A 19,483-nucleotide genomic window follows, 5' to 3' on the forward strand; every position below is an offset into this window, starting at 1 on the left:
GGCACCATGAGAAAAACACAGTCCAGCCCTGGAGGAGTGGATGGGGGAGGGAAGAGGCATGAGGAGGGATCTGGAGGCCAACGGCCCAGGAGACAGTGCTCCCAGAAGTCCATCTGCCTTGTGCTTGGATGCATCCTTACCTCTGCAGATAATGCTACCTCGGCCTGCAACACTGATGGACTCTGATCTATCAGAACAATTCCTTGTTCTTTTTTGATACTAATTCAAATGCTCTATGAATTGGAGGCAACATTTATAAAATATTAAATCTGTACATTTTTTCATCATCACCGAAAACGACATTCCCCTGCCCAAATCCACCGTTATAGACCCAGGAAAGGCAGAGGGGCTAGAGAACCTTCAAGAAGGAAAAGGACAATAGGAACCATAGCTAACACTTCCACAGTGAGTGCTTACCATGTATCAGGCACTACTCAAAGTGCCTTATAAGATACTGATTCATTTGAAGTTCTCAGCAAACCTAGCTAAATTTTATTATTAACGTTCCAATGTAGAGATGAGGAAACCATGGCATAGAAAGATTAAGCAACTTGCCCAAAGTTGCAGATCTTGGCAAAGTCAGGATTTGAACCCAAGCCCTAGATTCCATGCTCTTATCTGCCATACAGATGGCCTCCCTTGGCGTACGTGCCCACACAGAGGCAGCTGGCCTGGCCTCATTCTTGGATGCCTGGGGTTGGCATTTTCTGAGGCATAGCTGGTCCTCTCTGGCCCTTTGGCCATCATGCTCATACTCTGTAGTCCCAGCTGTGTGTCTTTATGTTTGCAGTTGTTCTACTCAATGGAGCCTGTTTGTTTCTGCAAACCCTCCCTGTGGGTCCATGGGTATATGTGGCTCCCCTCTCCCCTGCATGCCATATGCAGTCTGTGAGGGCACCAGGACCTACCTGAGGGTCACCCTTCTAGGTGCCTGCCTTGACCCACAGTGCATCATTGCTCCTGCACAACATTGGACTCACAGTCAAGCATATTCGGGGCTTCCCCTGAAGGCTGGACCACATACTTTCATCTTTGTATCTTCAGGGGCTAACACAGAGGTAACTCAATAAACAGTATTTTGAAGTTCAGATGCTTGGCGTATTTCAGCTGCAGCAACGAATGAGGCTGAGAAGATTTAAAAACCACTCCTCGGAACCTTTCACTGATTTCAACTCAGAATCCTTAAAACATATCCTTGAATAATTCTCTGGTACACAATGAAACTTATTAATCACTCTTTTGCCTGGACACAATGTCTCTGGGTCTCTCTGGTTTGATGTTTCTCACACCTTACTTGTACACAGACTTGATTTTATCACGCATGCCCTCTTTCAAATACCTTTAGCTTCTTCAATAAGATTATTCCTAGTGCCAACCCTAGAAGCATACTGTCCAGGAATATGTCACATGCTGCTAGCTGACTACTTTCTCTCTTGTCCCTTGTATCGCAGCCAGGTTCTCTAATTATCCACAAGCTCAACTTTCCCCCCACCCATGTTGTTCACACACACACACAGACACACACACACACACATTTCTTTTCAATTACTTTGGTATAGAACTTTGTCAAAAACATCCTGGAAATCTACATAATGATCTGGCGGGCTCCTTTTGGTGTTACTGGTTAGCACATTTCATGAATTACCAGAGCACACGTGACCAGGAATGCTACTTTTCTCCTTAAACGTTATTGCTCAACACATATGGCAAAAGGACTTAATGTTGCATTTCAGCAGGATACACTCACAATGGGTATCCTATTTATCATGGTCCCATGCTATACTAAAGCTCTCGTGGGTTAGAACTAAACATCTCTTTTTCAGCATATCATTTTACTGTGACCTAAGCAGCTACTGAGAAAATTATCCGACTTATCATGAAAAGAATAAGTAATAGGAATAATTTTTTTCAAATTATTTTAGTAAAGTCGAAGGATATATGAGGAAAGCATCAGTGCAATATGGCTTTTCCAACTTGGCAGGGGCAGGTGGAATCTGTGATGAAATTGTTACCTTAAGAGATTGGCTTTCCCCCTTGCCTGGCCGTGCTTTTTGAAGTTTTTCATATACCACAAAATACATAATGAAGGGTAGTTCAATTTACTCTGAACCCCAGCTATATGGCCATGACATATTTAGAGGTGACTCTGGGATGCATTCTCAAATACAGTGCATGCTTTCTAAATTTACAGTCTGATTTATTGCTGCCAGTTATGACTGCCAAATGCTTCTGACAGTGTGGCCAGTTTGTGGTGTCCCTAAAAATCATCAGCAATTTGAAAACATTAGCACCCGGCAATAGTCGTACTTCGCAATGATTGCCTGTATTTATCACCTTACTTTTCCAGGGTACAAACTGAAAAAAAAAATCAAGGAGGAAAATTAAACTTCTCTAGCAGCACGGAAAATACAGCATTGGAAATAAAATGCATCGTAGGAACTCAGCCCCTCCCTGTATTCTTTAAAAATTAAAATAAACAATTTAAACTCTGTGGCTTATGTGGCTACGTAGAAGAAAAATATTGTAAGTATGTATCTCTCCTCAAATACTTTTTATTTTGTCTTCACATTTGAAGAGTATTTTGATATTAGGATATTATGGTTATGTGTGGGACAAAAAATTGGGGAAAATAGTTCATTGCTTCATTCAACAAATATCTGCTATGTTCTGCTCTGTGGCAGGCACTGAACTAGTTCCTGGAAATGCAGGAGTAGACAAGAAAGGCTTGACTTCCATAGGGGTCTTGCAGTTTACTGAGATGCACAATTATGTTGTTACAATTGGGAAGAAGAGACGTGCAAGTCCTGGGCGACTACAGACAGCAAGGTAAAGGTACACCTCCCTGAAGAACAAGAGCAAATCTGAAACCTGAAAGATGGTTATGAACAAAGCACTGTGTAACATGGGGATTGGGAGAACATTCCAAGCCGAGAAAGGACAGCGGTGAAGGTTCCACATGGCGCCACCTTACAGGGATTTGCAGTGTGTGCAGCACCAAGGTGCTGGCCAGAAGGTGAGTGACATCCAGGCCCTGCTCTGCTCTCCAGCTTGGACATCCCGGTGTGTCACTGACAACCCACCAAAGGACACAAAAGTAGCAGATGATTGCCAAGACAAGTCCTATGAATGCATTGATTTGAGTCCAGGATAAACTGTTTTAACCTAAAAACTCTAAAATGTAGTGATTGAAATAATCTAGGAGGTTGTTTTCCCTGGCGTAACATTATACGTGCATGTGGTCTAGGGCTGGTAGCATCGCTCTGCCACTTTCATTGTGTTGGCCAATCTCAATGAGTCCAAAGCTGCTCCAAAGGCGCTATCCCTTGGCCTTCTGGAATAGACATACAACCCGTGACACCACAGGCATCCCTTACATAGGGCAAGAAACACAAACAGCATGCATCATTTCTCACTTCCCATTGGTGATAACCTAATCATCACACGGCCACACCAAGACTCAAGGGAAGCTGAGAAGCATCTTCTCTGGCTGGCTGCCATGTGCTATCATCAAAGAGGGGAGGATGAAGGTTGGTGGACATCCAGGGGACTGTGCTACGAGGAAGGATGGTGGGGGCAAGGAGTGAGATAACGATGGAGAGGCAGGCAGGGGGCAGATCGTGAAAGGGCTTGTTTAAAGCAAAGGGAAGCCATGCTAGTGTTTTCAAAAGAGCAGTGACAGATTTATGGGTATCTGCTTGCAGAAAAGGCTATTACAGAGAAGGCTTGATTAGGGTAAATACAAGCTGAGGTTTCCTAGTGATTCTCTCTTTTAATTCTCAGATGTCCTTGTTTACCAACAGCCCAAATTCTGCATGCAGAACACACCTAAGTCATAGAGTCTCCAAAGAAATTGCCTGGAAGCTCCGATTTTAATGGAAAGTTTTTCTGTAGTTGTGGATGGAAACCTGAGCTATCCTATATTATGCAGCTCTACACTGTCAGTGACCTTGTGATGTGGCTCTGAGTTTTCACAAGGTCACCCAGGCCCGACAGAACACACAACCGAAGGCGCAGGGGTTGCGGCACAGCACATCCGTACTTGTAGACATCGCGTGGCCCTGCGTCCTGGCAGGGCAGGGCAGAGAACAAAACCACTCTCAAGGCCGGCACAGTCCCACCAGCAGGCCCTTGGAGGAGCGTCAAATCCTGCCACAGACACAGGACCCATCTACATGGCTTCTTGGCCCTGAGGAGATGGGCTGCTGAAGCCAGCACCTCCAATTCTGTCTATAGTGGAAAACAGAGAGGCTGAGGACTGAATACCTGCTGTCTGAGTTGGTTCAATGTACAGGAACGGGACTTTAATTCAGGGAGGTGAGATGTGAGAAAGAGCAACTTCGAAAGTCACCCATCTCACACCTGTAGCCTGAACTTGACAATTCTACTCCTATAACAACAACAACCGCTGCAGCAACATTCAGATACACCCACTGTGAGGCAGGTGTGTTCTCTCTCTCTCTGTACAGTTGATGTCTGAAAAATGTGAGTTAGGGCACCACGCCCTCATACAGTCAAAAACCCACATATAACTTTTGACTGCCCCCAATCTTAAGGACTGATAGCCTACTGTTGCTCAGAAGCCTTAACAATAACATAAACAGTCGATCAACACCTAGTTTGTATATCATGTATATTATATACTGTATTCTTAAAATAAGAGAAGTTTAACAGAGAATAAAATGTTATGCAGAAAGTCATAAGGAAGAAACAGCCTGTCCAACATGGCGAAACACTGTCTGTACTAAAAATACAAAAATTAGCTGGGCATGGTGGCAGGCACTGGTAACCCCAGCTACCTCGGGAGGCTGAGGCAGGAGAATCACTTGAACCCGGGAGGCAGGGGTGGCAGTGAGCCGAGATTGCACCACTGCACTCCAGCCTGGGTGACAAGAGTGAAAATCCCATCAAAAAAAAAAAAAGGAAAAGAAAATCATAAGGAAGAGAAAATACATTTACTATACATTAAGTGGAAGTGGATCATCATAAAGGTCTTCATCCTCGTCATCTTCCCGTTGAGTAGCCTGAAGAGGAGGAAGAGGAAGAGGGGTTGGTCTTGCTGTCTCAGGGGTGGCAGAGTCAGAAGGAAATCTGCATAAAATTGGATCCATGCACTTCAAACTCATGCTGTTCAAGGGTCAACTGTATATATATTCAGTACATATACACAGTTGAATACATATGCATGTATATGTGTGTGTATATAGAAAGGTATTTCATCTTTCCTATAACTCTTTGAGGAAAATATTATCATCCTCATAGAACTGATAAGGACACAGAGACCAGTGGTGCTGGGTGACTTGGCAGCAGAACTCAGGGCCAGAATCCAAACCCAGATCTGCTAACACCAAACACACACTCATTTCCCTGCATCCTGTCTTTTTTACGTCATTAAATAAAAAAGATTTATCAGTTTTCTAAACTTGATCAATGAGAGAGTTTGGGGACATCTTCCTAAATTATACTAATATGTAAACATATCTATACCATCTAAAATGATTTTTTGCAAAACTCATCTAAATTTGCAAACAAGTCACTGCTATATCCTATAAAAAGTACATTAGAAACCTCTGATGTTCCAACTCTTGAAAAATGGCCTGTGGCAGCTTTAGGGCCTATGAGCTTGCAGGGTTCTTACCTTTATGGTTGACTCTCAAATCATTAGTTTTATGGTAGGACATAATTTCTTTAGGATTTCAAGGAATACGAAAAATACACTTAAGCCATATTAGTGGTTTTGACTTAATTAATTATAATAATTACTATCAATTGATTGATTAATAATGTTGGTTAATCAATTGTTAATTTCATTGAATAATTATCAGAGCAAAAACTTGAAATGGTGTTGAAACACAGAGGACTTATTTCATAAACATCAAACCTAAAGAGTATAGCTCAGCAGTTCACGACTAAGCCTCAAAGATATAAATCAGGATTTTCCCTGGCTTTGCAGGGAATGTCGCTTAAGTCAGGCTCTTGAGTTGCCTTTCCAGATCCTAAACTGCCCACCGTGAGGATTTCTGGGACTCGTAGGAGTGTAACTGAAGACAAATTCTGATGCAAGAAAGGTCATATTCATCCTGAGGGAAAATTTGTTGTCCACACAATTCCACCGTTAAAAGACACCAGCATCTCGGCTGCCTCTCTGGGTCACAGCAAGGATGCTCCCACCCCTGTCTGTGCTGCCCTGTGACCACATGGTCCCGTACTGGTCACTCAGAGTGAGACCTATCGTGGGGGCCATCCTGGCCACACATCTTAGATGAGTGTTTCTACACTTCTTTGATAAAGACAGTTAATTCCCAAGGAGGTTTTTGTTTTTACTTCTCTGTATGCAAAATGGAATGAATGAAAATATCAGGTTGACGTTCTGGCAAGTCATTTCCTAGGCAAGTGATCATCTAAGAAAAAATACCTTAGAAACTTATTTTCACAGAAATTTGATCAGGTTTCCACAATCAGAAAATCATGGGTCTAGAGAAAATATCAGCGTTTTCAGTCATTAGTGTGTATATTTTATGTTCTTATAATAAGCAGAGGTATAAATACAGACTAAGGCATCAAACTGAATGATGGTTTTCACTGCTGTAAATGGAACATTAGGGTGCTTTTCTAATTCCCTCTCTCTGCCAGGATTAAAATTTAAACGTGGGTCATAAAGAACGACAAAATAAACTTTATAAATATTTCTCTTACTTTTGCTCATGGGTAAACAAAGACGTAGAGAATCAAGTGTTTATTCCCACAAGTGTATTGTAAATGAACACAGCATCCGCAAGCCCTGACTTGTCAACCATAAGGATAAGCCATTGTGGTCCATCACTCCTAAAGACAATAGTTGTTCTGACTGAAATCTGCATAAGGTGTAATAAATTTGATTTTTAATGTAACTTTTTTTTAGCTCCTGTACTTTTATTTCCGAAGACATTTCAGTAAGTGACATCTTACCCCACGGCGATGGATTGGGAAACACAGAGAACAAAGATCCTAAGAATCTAAGATTTTTGTATTTTTTTAAATAACAAAAATGGATTAATCCTGAAGAAACTGAAAAAAAAGGAGTCTTAGGAGGGAATATTAATGCGAGCATATTTTTGGCACATTAAAAACTCCAACGTACTAATTCAAGCACTGTTTACTTTTTGTATTTAACAGGATTGCTGTTTTCAAGGGAAAAAACAAGATATTTTCTGAGTGCCAAAAACTACTTACTCATGAAGTCTGAAATACCATTATTAGTAGTAGTAATTCTTACATTTAGCATCTGTGAATAACTTCTTATACGAGAACACTATTTTGGGTCAGCTGAAGGCTAAAAATAATGAGTTGGCTTTCTGCCTTTGTGTATTGAGTCAAATAGCTGCCAATTAATATAATGGATTTTTTTCCTGTGATAAATTTCAGAAAGTGAGAACAAATAGTTGTTGGTGTTTCATAATTTCCAATGGAAAGAATATATTTCTCACAAGTTTAAAGACTGACTGCACTCTAAGTAACCAAACAATTACAAGAAGCTGCCGGTGTATTTCTGTGGTTTAGCAAAAGGGCCAAGTCGGAAGGAAAAGACATTCCCAGCATTTTCTAAAGCTAGATAAATACAGAAACGAAATATAGATGAAAGATGGAACTGCTCTCTATAGCATCTGCCAGATTCCTCGACTTTTTGGCACACTGATTGAATTTGGCAAAGGTACCCAGTAGCAATCTTTTCCATTAAAAGGAGCAGCATATACTTTATTTTACCATACTGTTTGTGTATTTTTGACCCTCCAAAACTCTCTTTTTTAGAAGGCAATTATTTCTACAGAGTTGGCTGCAATTATTTGAAACGGATCTTTTATCAACAAAAAAAGCTGCGGGACATAGCTACTGTTGAACAGATCCAAGGACCTACAGGTCGTCAGGAAAGCGTCTTTCTTTGAAACCAAAAGATGCTTCAACATGTGCCAGCATCATCTTATGCCAATCTAACGCTTTTGATATCCAAACCTATTTAAATTTGGAGGAATCCTGGACTGTTCAATTTAGGCAAGATAAGCTACCCAGCTCTGTCGTTTTCTTCTATTTGTGATCAGAAAAACTGTAACGTAGTCCAACATTCCTAATTTTGGTAACATGATGATGTTAAGAAAAGGAATAACTCTCCCGTCCAAAATCAAATTTTTGTGGAATCCAATACTTCTTAACCCTGAATTTTTTTCTGAGCTGGCAGTGATTCTATAGTAAACTTCTGAAGATATATAAGTAACAATCTCTAAAAATATGACACGCGGCAGCAAGTATGAAGGCAATGGCTTCTGGCTTCACTCAACTCAGGAAAGAGAGGCTCACACCTGATAAGCTTTTTACGTAACTCAGAGGGAAATGACTTTTTGTTTTCAGATTTTATTAGTTTCTTCTAAACCAAACAAAAGCAAAAGATGAGGGGTGTTCACCTGTTGCTATGAAGTTTTTGAGTGCAACATTATGGTCAGATATTTGGTTTTTAAACAGCCCCAAATTGAGGCCTACCGTATAGCTGACAGTGACTTGGAAATATTATTGTTACTAATGTTATTTGCCATCTAGTGCACTTTCTTAATCATTAAGTAGCAGCTAATTTAAAGCAGTGGAAGAGTATTAGCTTCATGTGAGCGCCAGAAAAACGCTGTGGTTTAAACATAAAGTTGGGAGCCAACAGCGACAGATATAACATATAAAGATGTATAATTTGCCAAGTTTAAAATCCCCAAACCAACATGGGAATGCTTCACAGGTTTATATGTGCATAAAGTGAAGACTGTTTTGCACAGATTTAAAATGGTGAAGGAGCGTATCTTTTCTTAAACTCAGGTTGACAGTATAATAGTACACCTCCTATAATCACAAAGTATTTGACAAAAAAGAGTCAACTGTTATTCTGTTTAAATTTCAGGATGCTAAATCCATACCAGCAGTTGGCAGTAGCTGAGTCTGGAATATTTTCAAAAATATTATAAATAATTACCTTTCACATTAATAATTTACATCGATTTAACTCACAAAGCTTGCCTTATGAAAGAGTTCTTTAATAAAAATAAAACAATAATAATAAATAAAACCAGCCAAAGCTGTCAGCAAGAATTTGTCATTTTCACAACTGAGGTAAAATATTCTACAAGTTAAATATTGGGTAAAATGCCCTCTGTACATTTTTTTCTATTTTTATTGATCTATTTGTACATATTTACGTACATCTTTAAAACAACTGCAATAACAACCTCATAATAAAAGCATATATTTGACTCTAAAACAGCCTAAATAACAGTGTGACAAAAGATAGTGAATATCAACTGACCTAAGAATTTCTCATGTCAGTTGGTTCAGAAATTTAAATTCTGAGTTGTCACTTTCGTGCACATCTTTTGGAGTGCCTTCCCAGCACATCATGAACGCCCTTGACTGCCTTTGTGTTCCACCTCCAATGGCAAGTCTTGGAAGCCATCTTGTAAAGTATCACATGCTTCATTGTCCACCACTGATTGGACAAGGGGGTGGGTACTTTTCTTAAACTGGGCCAATCAGCTTCCCTTGTCTGAGATTTTTGAACTGAAAATGGGGGTGGAGAAAATATGTGGCCTCCTTGGGTGGCTGGATACCTAGATCCAGGAGAAGCAGTAAAGAAAACAGTGGCAAAAGAGAGGAAGCCAACTGGCATAGAAAGAATAAAAGGAAACAAATAAGAAAAGTGGAGAGATGGCAGTTGGAAAAAAGATGCTAAAGGCTTTGGAGCTCAGCGCCTTCTTAGGGCTCTGCTGCTTTCTTGCCCATGGGAATTCTCTTTGGTGCATAAGTTTGAGTTATGAAGTAATTTATTGATTTATAGCAGATCCTGCATTGCATCTGTAGGACTTTGGATGCATCAGACTGTCGAGCTAAAGCTTCCCAGTCTTTAAAATGGGAGAGTAATGCCTGCACCACAGGGGTACAGTGAAGATTAAATGAAATAAGGAATAAAGCACATAGGCCACGGGTGAATGCTCAGTAATTGATTGTTATTCTTTTTAAAATAGATCAACCTGAAATACACATTTTGTAACATATATATGAGCTATTTATATTGACTATTTGCTAGTGTAATTATTAAGCCTAATATTCTAATATTGGATAATTATTCACTTAATGGGTACTCCAAGTTATCTAATGAAATTTAAAATAAAAATGGGCTTGCTAGCAACTGTTATTACTATGATTATTTCCCTCTTTGTGGTAGAAAAAAGGTTTGTGAATGGATTCTTAATTCTTCCTGTTCCCTTAATCTCTCATCCAATCTGTAACTAAGCCACCATTTCTCATGCGCTTACAGCTCACCAGCCTCGTAGACAGATCAGCTTCCAGTTTTTCTTTTCTTTCCCTTCTTTTTTCTTATTTTTATTTTTTTTTCGGAGTCTTGCTCTGTCACCTAGGCTGGAGTGCAGTGGTGCGATCTCAGCTCACTGCAACCTCCACCTCCCAGGTTCAAGCAATTCTCCTGCTTCGGCCTCCTGAGTAGCTGGGATTACAGGTGCCCGCCACCATGCCCGGCTAATTTTTGTATTTTTAGTAAAGACGGGGTTTCACCATGTTGGCCAGGCTGGTCTTGAAATCCTGACCTCAGGTGATCTGCCTGCCTCGGCCTCCCAAACTGCTGGGATTACAGGTATGAGCCACCACCCCGGCAGATCTGCTTCCAGTCTTTCTGATCCTGTCCCTATACACCTCCAAGAGTGATCATCTTTTTTTGTTTGTTTTTTGTTTAGAGAAAGGATCTTGCTCTGTCATTCAGGCTGGAGTATGGTAGTGCATTCACAGCTCACTGCAGCCTCGACCTCCCAGGCTAAAGTGATCCTCCCACCTGAGCCTCCTGAGTAGCTGGGACTACAGGTATGCACCACCATGCCTGGCTTATTTATTTTTATTTTTTGTGGAGATAGGGTCTCCCTATGTTGCCCAGGCTAGTCCTCAGAAATTTTAGGCACATTCCTACCCTATGGCCGCTGAACAAACACTTTCCCTCTGGCTGCAAATTCTTCTCCTCACTTCATTCTCCTTAGTTAAGATGCATCTCTTCAAAGATGCCTTCTCTGACTTCCCTGTATAAAATGGGTTGTCCCTTCATTAGTCTTCATTTGACCCCCTTTGTTTCCTTTACAGCATTCAGCACACTTGGTAATTATTTTGTCCATTTACATGTTTTTGACCCGTCTCTTCTTAAATGGTTGAGAGGGTTATGCGAGCCTTGGGCTTGCTCTCTCTTCCTGAATTCTGGGGATGGTGAATAGAAGGACAGGTCCTGCCCATGTGGAGAATCTCTACACTGTATCTTTATTTCATTTCTTTGAAAAAAGGGTGCCCTTGTGAAGAATGTCATTTTCTGGATAGACACTAAGCATACATGATCATTCTTGACCAAACTTTTCAAGAGATTGTGCCTCCAATTAGCAATACATATTTTCCTCTGATTACAATAAATTAACAAGCAATATATGGGAATGGAGTGGATAACTATTTTTCACAAATAGTTATCAATCTTCTACCATTTGAAAGATTAATTTATTAAACAGAAAATTCAAAAACATATAAATGTCTTTAAGAACATTCTATAAAGCCATGGGCCATGTCCAGATCAACTAAAAGTAGAAGCCAAAAATAATTCCCCACAGTAAAATCTTTAAATTTAAATATGCTGAAAGAAAAAGTCAAGTCAGATGATTGATTAAAATTCTGAACAAACAAAATATTTATCCAGGTTTTATATCTGAACCCTCATCTGGCATGAAATCAATGGAGTAAAAATAATAATTTAATAATAATTACTAAAGCTAATTATACATATACCCTTTGATCCAGCAATTCTGCTCCTGGGCATATACTCAACATCAATCAGTGCTTATATGCACCAAAACACATGTCCAGAATGCTCATAGCAGCACTATTTTTAATAGACTCTTTTAATATATAGAGGATCCTAAAACAAAAGATTCATGTTCAAATTATCCTTCATAAATTTCTCAAGATGTTGGATAAGTGCTGTATGATTTGTAAAGAATGTCTGTGATTACATTTAAGGCCACATGTTATATATTCCCTAGAATAAACTGGAAACTTTTATCTAAAATAAATTAGAAAACCATATCTGGAACAAATTAGAAACTGGTGTCATAGTTTATTTTTTTAAAAAATAAGCTGAAGCTGTTTACTGTGGAGTACAAAGTCTTAAAATAAAAACAGCCTATCTGCAACAAATCTGTGCATGAAAATCTTGAAGGTTTAGAAAAGATCGAGCTGAATCAATAGTAATGTACAAACCATTCCAGTGATCTATAAAAATATACAAAGCTTGAATGCAATTGTAGCGGATGGTGTAGTGTACCACCCAGCATAACTGGGTAAAAAAGCAACTGGCTGATGCAGAGTGGCTCTACATATTCCTGATTACCTGAGAGGTAACTGTAAAACTTAGCACTGAGGGCCGGGCATGGTGGCTCACGCCTGTAATTCCAGCACTTTGGGAAGCCAAGGCAGGTGGATCATTTAAGGTCAGGAGTTTGAGACCAGGCTGACCAACATGATGAAACACCACCTATACTAAAAATAGAAAAAAATTAGCTGGGTGTGGTGGCATGTGCCTGTAATCCCAGCTACTTGGGAGGCTGAGGCAGAAGAATTGCTTGAACCTGGGAGGCACAGATGCAATGAGCCGAGATCACACCATTGCACTCCTGCCTGGGTGACAGAGCAATACTCTGTCTCAAAAAAAAACAAAACAAAAAACTTAGCACTGAAAATTAGGAATATTAATAGTCTGAAGATGCAATATACATAAAGATTTGTTTTTTCAAAAAATCACAAAGAATCTGGTTTAAACTTGATATACTATAACCACTACTAGCAACAATGTTTAATTCTGCCCAACATGCTCACACCTGTAATCCCAGCACTTTGGGAAGCTGAGGTCGGAGGATTGCTTGAGGCTGAGTTCAAGACTGACCTGGGCAACACAGCAAGTTCCCATCTCTACAAACAATAAAAAAATTAGCCAGGTATGCTGACATGCACCTGCAGTCCCAGCTACTGGGGAGGCCGAGGCAGACAGACCACTTGACAGGAGTTAGAGGCTTCAGTGAGCTATGATCGTGCCACTGTACTCCAACTTGGACAACAGAGCAAGACCCTGTCTCAAACCAAAAAAAAGAATAATTGGCATAAATTAAGAATATATACCAGCTGCAAGAGCAGCAAAGGAGGTTGGAAAATTGCTAAAACTGAAAAGAGAAATGGAGCCCTTGGGATGGATTTTCAAAAGAGGATGTGGGAGTTCTAACAGGAAGGGCAGACATCATTCCACCATGAAGCAAGCAAACTCTCTGCCAAGTCCCCTTCCTTTTTGTGCTCTAGCCTATAAAGCAGAGTTTCTCAACCAGGCTCAGTCCTTCAGAAAAAACTGCAAGCATAGGAGTCCACACATATATGTGCATCTGGCACTTGAGCAATACCTTCCAATGGTGGTTCAGAGAGGAGCCTCTAAACCCACGCTCCTTGAGTCCTTTTCTTATGACCTGGGTGATTTGGGGCAAGTTATTTAATCTTTATGAAACTCAATTTCTTTATCTGTAAAACTAAGATAATAAGTTTCCAACTCAATAGGTTATGGAGAAGATTGAATAAAAGACTCTGTGTAAATGTGCTTTTAGAATAAATGTCTGGCACACAGGAAGCTGAAAAAACAAAAACGATATGACTTCCATTATTATCTAGCTCTTTTACTATACTTAGCTTTTCTTTTTCATTTCTTCTCACTTGTAGCTCTAAGAAGGGGAGGAAAATTTATTTGGCTAGCGATGGGGTGGTGGCGAAGGAGTTGGATTTGACTTAGCAGAAGCAAGGTGGATCCATTATAGTGAAGCAGAGCTTGGATGAAGAAGACAAGCAGTCTATTAGCTCAGCCCCTTCTAGGCACATTCAATTTTTCCCAAGTGCTCCTGGATATTTTAGAAGTCAGCTGAATCAGCAAGGCAGGCCAACATTCAAATTCAGGAAATACAGAGAACACCACAAAGATACTCCTCGAAAAGAGCAACTCCAAGACACATAATTGTCAGATTCACCAAAGTTGAAATGAAGGAAAAAGGAAAAAATGTTAAGTGCAGCCAGAGAGAAACAGTGGGTTACACACAAAGGGAAGCCCATCAGACTAACAGAGGATCTCTTGGCAGAAACTATACAAGCCAGAAGAGAGTGGGGGCTGATATTCAACATTCTTAAAGAAAAGAATTTTCAACCCAGAATTTCATAGCCAGCCAAACTAAGCTTCATAAGTGAAGGAGAAATAAAATCCTTTACAGATAAGCAAATGCTGAGAGATTTTGTCACCACCAGGCCTGCCCTAAAAGAGCTCCTGAAGGAAGCACTAAACATGGAAAGGAACAGCTGGTACCAGCCACTGCAAAAACATGCCAAAATGTAAAGACCATCGATGCTAGGAAGAAACTGCATCAACTAACAAGCAAAAGAACCAGCTAACATCACAATGACAGGATCAAATTCACACATAGCAATATTAACTTTAAATGTAAATGGGCTAAATGCTCCAATTAAAAGACACAGACTGACAAATTGGATGAAGAGTCAGGACCCATTAGTGTGCTGTATTCGGGAGACCCATCTCATGTGCAGAGACACACATAGGATCAAAATAAAGGTATGGAGGAAGACCTACCAAGCAAATGGAAAACAAAAAAAGGCAGGAGTTGCAATCCTAGTCTCTGATAAAACAGACTTTTAAACCAACAAATATCAAAAGAGACAAAGAAGGCCATTACATGATGGTAAAGGGATCAATTCAACAAGAAGAGCTAACTATCCTAAATATATATGCACCCAATACAGGAGCACCCAGATTCATAAAGCAAGTCCTTAGAGACTTACAAAGAGACTTAGGCTCCCACACAATAATAATGGGAGACTTTAACACCCCACTGTCAACATTAGACAGACCAATGAGACAGAAAGTTAACAAAGATATCCAGGAATTGAACTCAGCTCTGCACCAAGTGGACCTAATAGACATCCACAGAACTCTCCACCCCAAATCAACAGAATATGCATTCTTCTCAGCACCACATCGTACTTATTCCAAAATTGACCACATAGTTGGAAGTAAAGCACTCCTCAGCAAATGTAAAAGAACAGAAATTATAACGAACTGTCTCTCAGACCACAGTGCAATCAAACTAGAACTCAGGATTAAGAAACTCACTCAAAACCGCTCAACTACATGGAAACTGAACAACCTGCTCCTGAATGACTACTGGGTACATAATGAAATGAAGGCAGAAATAAAGATGTTCTTTGAAAACAATGAGAACAAAGACACAACATACCAGAATCTCTGGGACACATTTAAAGCAGTGTGTAGAGGGAAATTTATAGCACTAAATGCCCACAAGAGAAAGCAGGAAAGATCTAAAATTGACACCCTAACATCACAATTGAAAGAACTAGAGAAGCAGGAGCAAACACATTCAAAAGCTAGCAGAAGGCAAGAAATAACTAAGATCAGAGCAGAACTGAAGGAGATAGAGACACAAAAAACCCTTCAAAAAATCAATGAATCCAGGAGTTGGTTTTTTGAAAAGATCAACAAAATTGATAGACCACTAGCGAGACTAATAAAGAAGAAAAGAGAGAAGAATCAAATAGACGCAATAAAAAATGACAAAGGGGATATCACCACCGATCCCACAGAAATACAAACTACCATCAGAGAATACTATAAACACCTCCACACAAATAAACTAGAAAATCTAGAAGAAATGGATAAATTCCTGGACACATACACCCTCCCAAGACTAAACCAGGAAGAAGTTGAATCCCTCAATAGATCAATTGTTGCTCTGAAATTGAGGCAACAATTAATAGCCTACCAACCAAAAAAATTCCAGGATCAGATGGATTCACAGCCAAATTCTACCAGAAGTACAAGGAGGAGCGGGGACCATTCCTTCTGAAACTATTCCAATCAATAGAAAAAGAGGGAATCCTCCCTAACTCATTTTATGAGGCCAGCATCATCCTGATACCAAAGCCTGGCAGAGACACAGAAAAAAAAGAGAATTTTAGACCAATATCCCTGATGAACATTGATGCAAAAATCCTCAATAAAATACTGGCAAACTGAATCCAGCAGCAACTCAAAAAGCTTATCCACTATGATCAAGTGGGCTTCATCACTGGGATGCAAGGCTTGTTCAACATACGCAAATCAATAAACGTAATCCAGCATATAAACAGAACCAAAGACAAAAACCACATGATTATCTCAATAGATGCAGAAAAGGCCTTTGACAAAATTCAACAGCACTTCATGCTAAAAACTCTCAATAAATTAGGTATCGATGGGACGTATCTCAAAATAATAAGAGCTATTTATGACATACCCACAGCCAATATCATCCTGAATGGGCAAAAATGAAGCATTCCCTTTGAAAACTGGCACAAGACAGGGATGCCCTCTCTCACCCCTGCTATTCAACATAGTGTTGGAAGTTCTGGCCAGGGCAATCAGGCAGGAGAAAGAAATAAAGGGTATTCAATTAGGAAAAGAGGAAGTCAAATTGTCCCTGTTTGCAGATGACATGATTGTGTATCTAGAAAGCCCCAGGTCTCAGCCCAAAATCTCCTTAAGCTGAGAAGCAACTTCAGCAAAGTCTCAGGATACAAAATCAATGTGCAGAAATCACAAGCATTCTTATACACCAATAACAGACAAACAGAGAGCCAAATCATGAGTGAACTCCCATTCACAATTGCTTCAAAGAGAATAAAATACCTAGGGATCCAACTTACAAGGGATGTGAAGGTACTCTTCAAGGAGAACTACAAACCACTGCTCAACAAAATAAAAGAGGATACAAACAAATGGAAGAACATCCCATGCTCTTGGATAGGAAGAATCAATATCGTGAAAATGGCCATATTGCCCAAGGTAATTTATAGATTCAATGCCATTCCCATCAAGCTACCAATGTCTTTCTTCACAGAACTGGAAAAAACTACTTTAAAGTTCATATGGAACCAAAAAAGAGCCCACATTGCCATGACAATCCTAAGCCAAAAGAACAAAGCCGGAGGCATCACACTACCTGACTTTAAACTATACTACAAGGCTACAGTAACCAAAACTGCATGGTACTGGTACCAAAACAGAGATATAGACAAATGAAAGAGAACAGAGCCCTCAGAAATAATACTACACATCTACAACCATCTGATCTTTGACAAACCTGACAAAAATAAGCAATGGGGGAAGGATTCCCTATTTAATAAATGGTGCTGGGAAAACTGGCTAGCCATATGTAGGAAGCTGAAACTGGATCCCTTCCTTACACCTTATACAAAAATTGATTCAAGATGGATTAAAGACCTAAAACCATACAAACCCTAGAGGAAAACCTAGGCAATACCATTCAGGACATAGGCATGGGCAAGGACTTCATGTCTAAAACACCAAAAACAATGGTAACAAAAGCCAAAATTGACAAATGGGATCTAATTAAACTAAAGAGCTCCTGCACAGCAAAAGAAACTACCATCAGAGCAAACAGGCAACCTACAGAATGGGAGAAAATTTTTGCAATCTACCCATCTGACGAAGGGCTAATATCCAGAATCTACAAAAAACTCAAACATATTTACAAGAAAAAACTCCATCAAAAAGTGGGCAAAGGATATGAACAGACACTTCTCAAAAGAAGACATTTATGAAGCCAATAGACACACGAGAAAATGCTCATCATCACTGGCCATCAGAGAAATGCAAATCAAAACCACAATGAGATACCATCTCACACCAGTTAGAATGGCGATCATTAAAAAGTCAGGAAACAACACGTGCTGGAGAGGATGTGGAGAAATAGGAACACTTTTACACTGTTAGTGGGACTGTAAACTAGTTCAACCATTGTGGAAGACAGTGTGGTGATTCCTCAAGGATCTAGAACTAGAAATACCATTTGACCCAGCCATCCCATTACTGGGTATATACCCAAAGGATTATAAAGCATGCTGCTATAAAGACACATGCACACGTATGTTTACTGCGTCACTGTTCACAATAGCAAAGACTTGGAACCAACCTAAATATTCATCAATGATAGACTGGATTAAGAAAATGTGGCACATATACACCATGGAGTACTATGCAGCCACGAAAAAGGATGAGTTCATGTCCTTTGTAGGGACATGGATGAAGCTGGAAACCATCATTCTCAGCAAACTAACACAGGAACAGAAAACCAAAGACTGCATGTTCTCACTCATAGGTGGGAATTGAAAAATGAGAACACTTGGACACAGGAAGGGGAACATCACATACCGGGGCCTGTCGTGGGGTGGGAGGAGGGGGAGGGATAGCATTAGGAGATACACCTAATGTAAATGACGAGTTAATGGGTGCAGCACACCAGCATGGCACATGTACACATAGGTAAAAAATCTGCACATTGTGCACATGTACCCTAGAACTTAAAATATAATAATAATAATAATAAAGAAGTCAGCTGAATCACCTCAGAGGCAAAAGCATTGCCTAGAGCTCCCCATGGAAAACTTAAAAAGAGAGGGAAAAAAGTGGCTTTAAAGAGTCATCCTCTAGTATAAAATTCAAGATGAGAATTCTTAATTCCTACTGAAGATAATCTGATTTTGCAAACTTCTCTATCATAGAGAAGCAAAGTGCTAAATAAATGTGAAAAAATAGTTCCTAATGGGTTTCATAAACAGAACTACTAAAGGGCAGCATGGCCAAGTGCAGTAATTTTCAATTCTTTTTAAAGTCGCAAAAGCTACTCTAAAATAGGAGCTTGTGCATGATTCTAATTTGTAAAACAGAAAAAGTAGCTGCTCTAATTGCAGTAGGTGAACCACCCAGCAAGAGCTCTGAGTACCAGTCCCTGATCTCTGTCAGGGGAACCCGAAGTTCCATGAGTCACGGTTTGAAATCTACTAATCAAATGGACACAGCACTAAAGTGAATATTACAATAATTTATGATGTCACATCATATATTGATGGTGTAGGTTTAGATACTTCACTAATTTGGGCCTTAGTTTCCTCGTCTGCGAACTGTGTGTTTAAAGTGAAAACATTTGCTGGGCGTGGCGGCTCACACCTGTAATCTCAACACTTTGGGAGGCCAAGACGGGTGAATCACTTGAGGTCAGGAGTTTGAGACCAGCCTGGCCAACATGGTGAAACCCCCTCTCTATCAAAAACAAAAAAATTAGACGGCCGTGGTGGCAGGCGCCTGTAGTCGCAGCTACTCTGGAGGCTGAGGCAGGAGAATGGCGTGAACCTGGGAGGCAGAGCTTGCAGTGAGCTGAGATCACACCACTGCACTCCAGCCTGGGCGACAGAGCGAGACTCCGTCTCAAAAAAAAAAAAAAAAAAAAAAGAATCACTTGAACGTGGGAGGCGGAGGTTGTAGTGA

At 40.1% G+C, this 19,483-nt stretch overlaps 1 protein-coding gene across 27 annotated transcripts in view; it reads right to left on the reverse strand.

Annotated features, from left to right (window-relative positions):
* The window catches only part of ODAD2 (outer dynein arm docking complex subunit 2), a 187,508-nt gene that overhangs the window by 18,852 nt on the left and 149,173 nt on the right, over positions 1 to 19,483 (reverse strand). For 13 of the 27 annotated variants that reach the window (XM_024448052.2, XM_047425408.1, XM_047425405.1 and 10 more), the window contains one exon: positions 4,962 to 5,021. The exons of the other annotated variants lie outside the window; for them this stretch is intronic. In XM_024448052.2, the coding sequence (XP_024303820.1) occupies positions 4,962 to 5,021 (60 nt within the window). The remainder of the gene's footprint in view (positions 1 to 4,961; positions 5,022 to 19,483) is intronic. 27 annotated transcript variants of the gene reach the window in all.

Source organism: Homo sapiens, chromosome 10 (genome assembly GCF_000001405.40).
Source record: "Homo sapiens chromosome 10, GRCh38.p14 Primary Assembly".
Classification (NCBI taxonomy): Eukaryota; Metazoa; Chordata; class Mammalia; order Primates; family Hominidae; genus Homo; species Homo sapiens.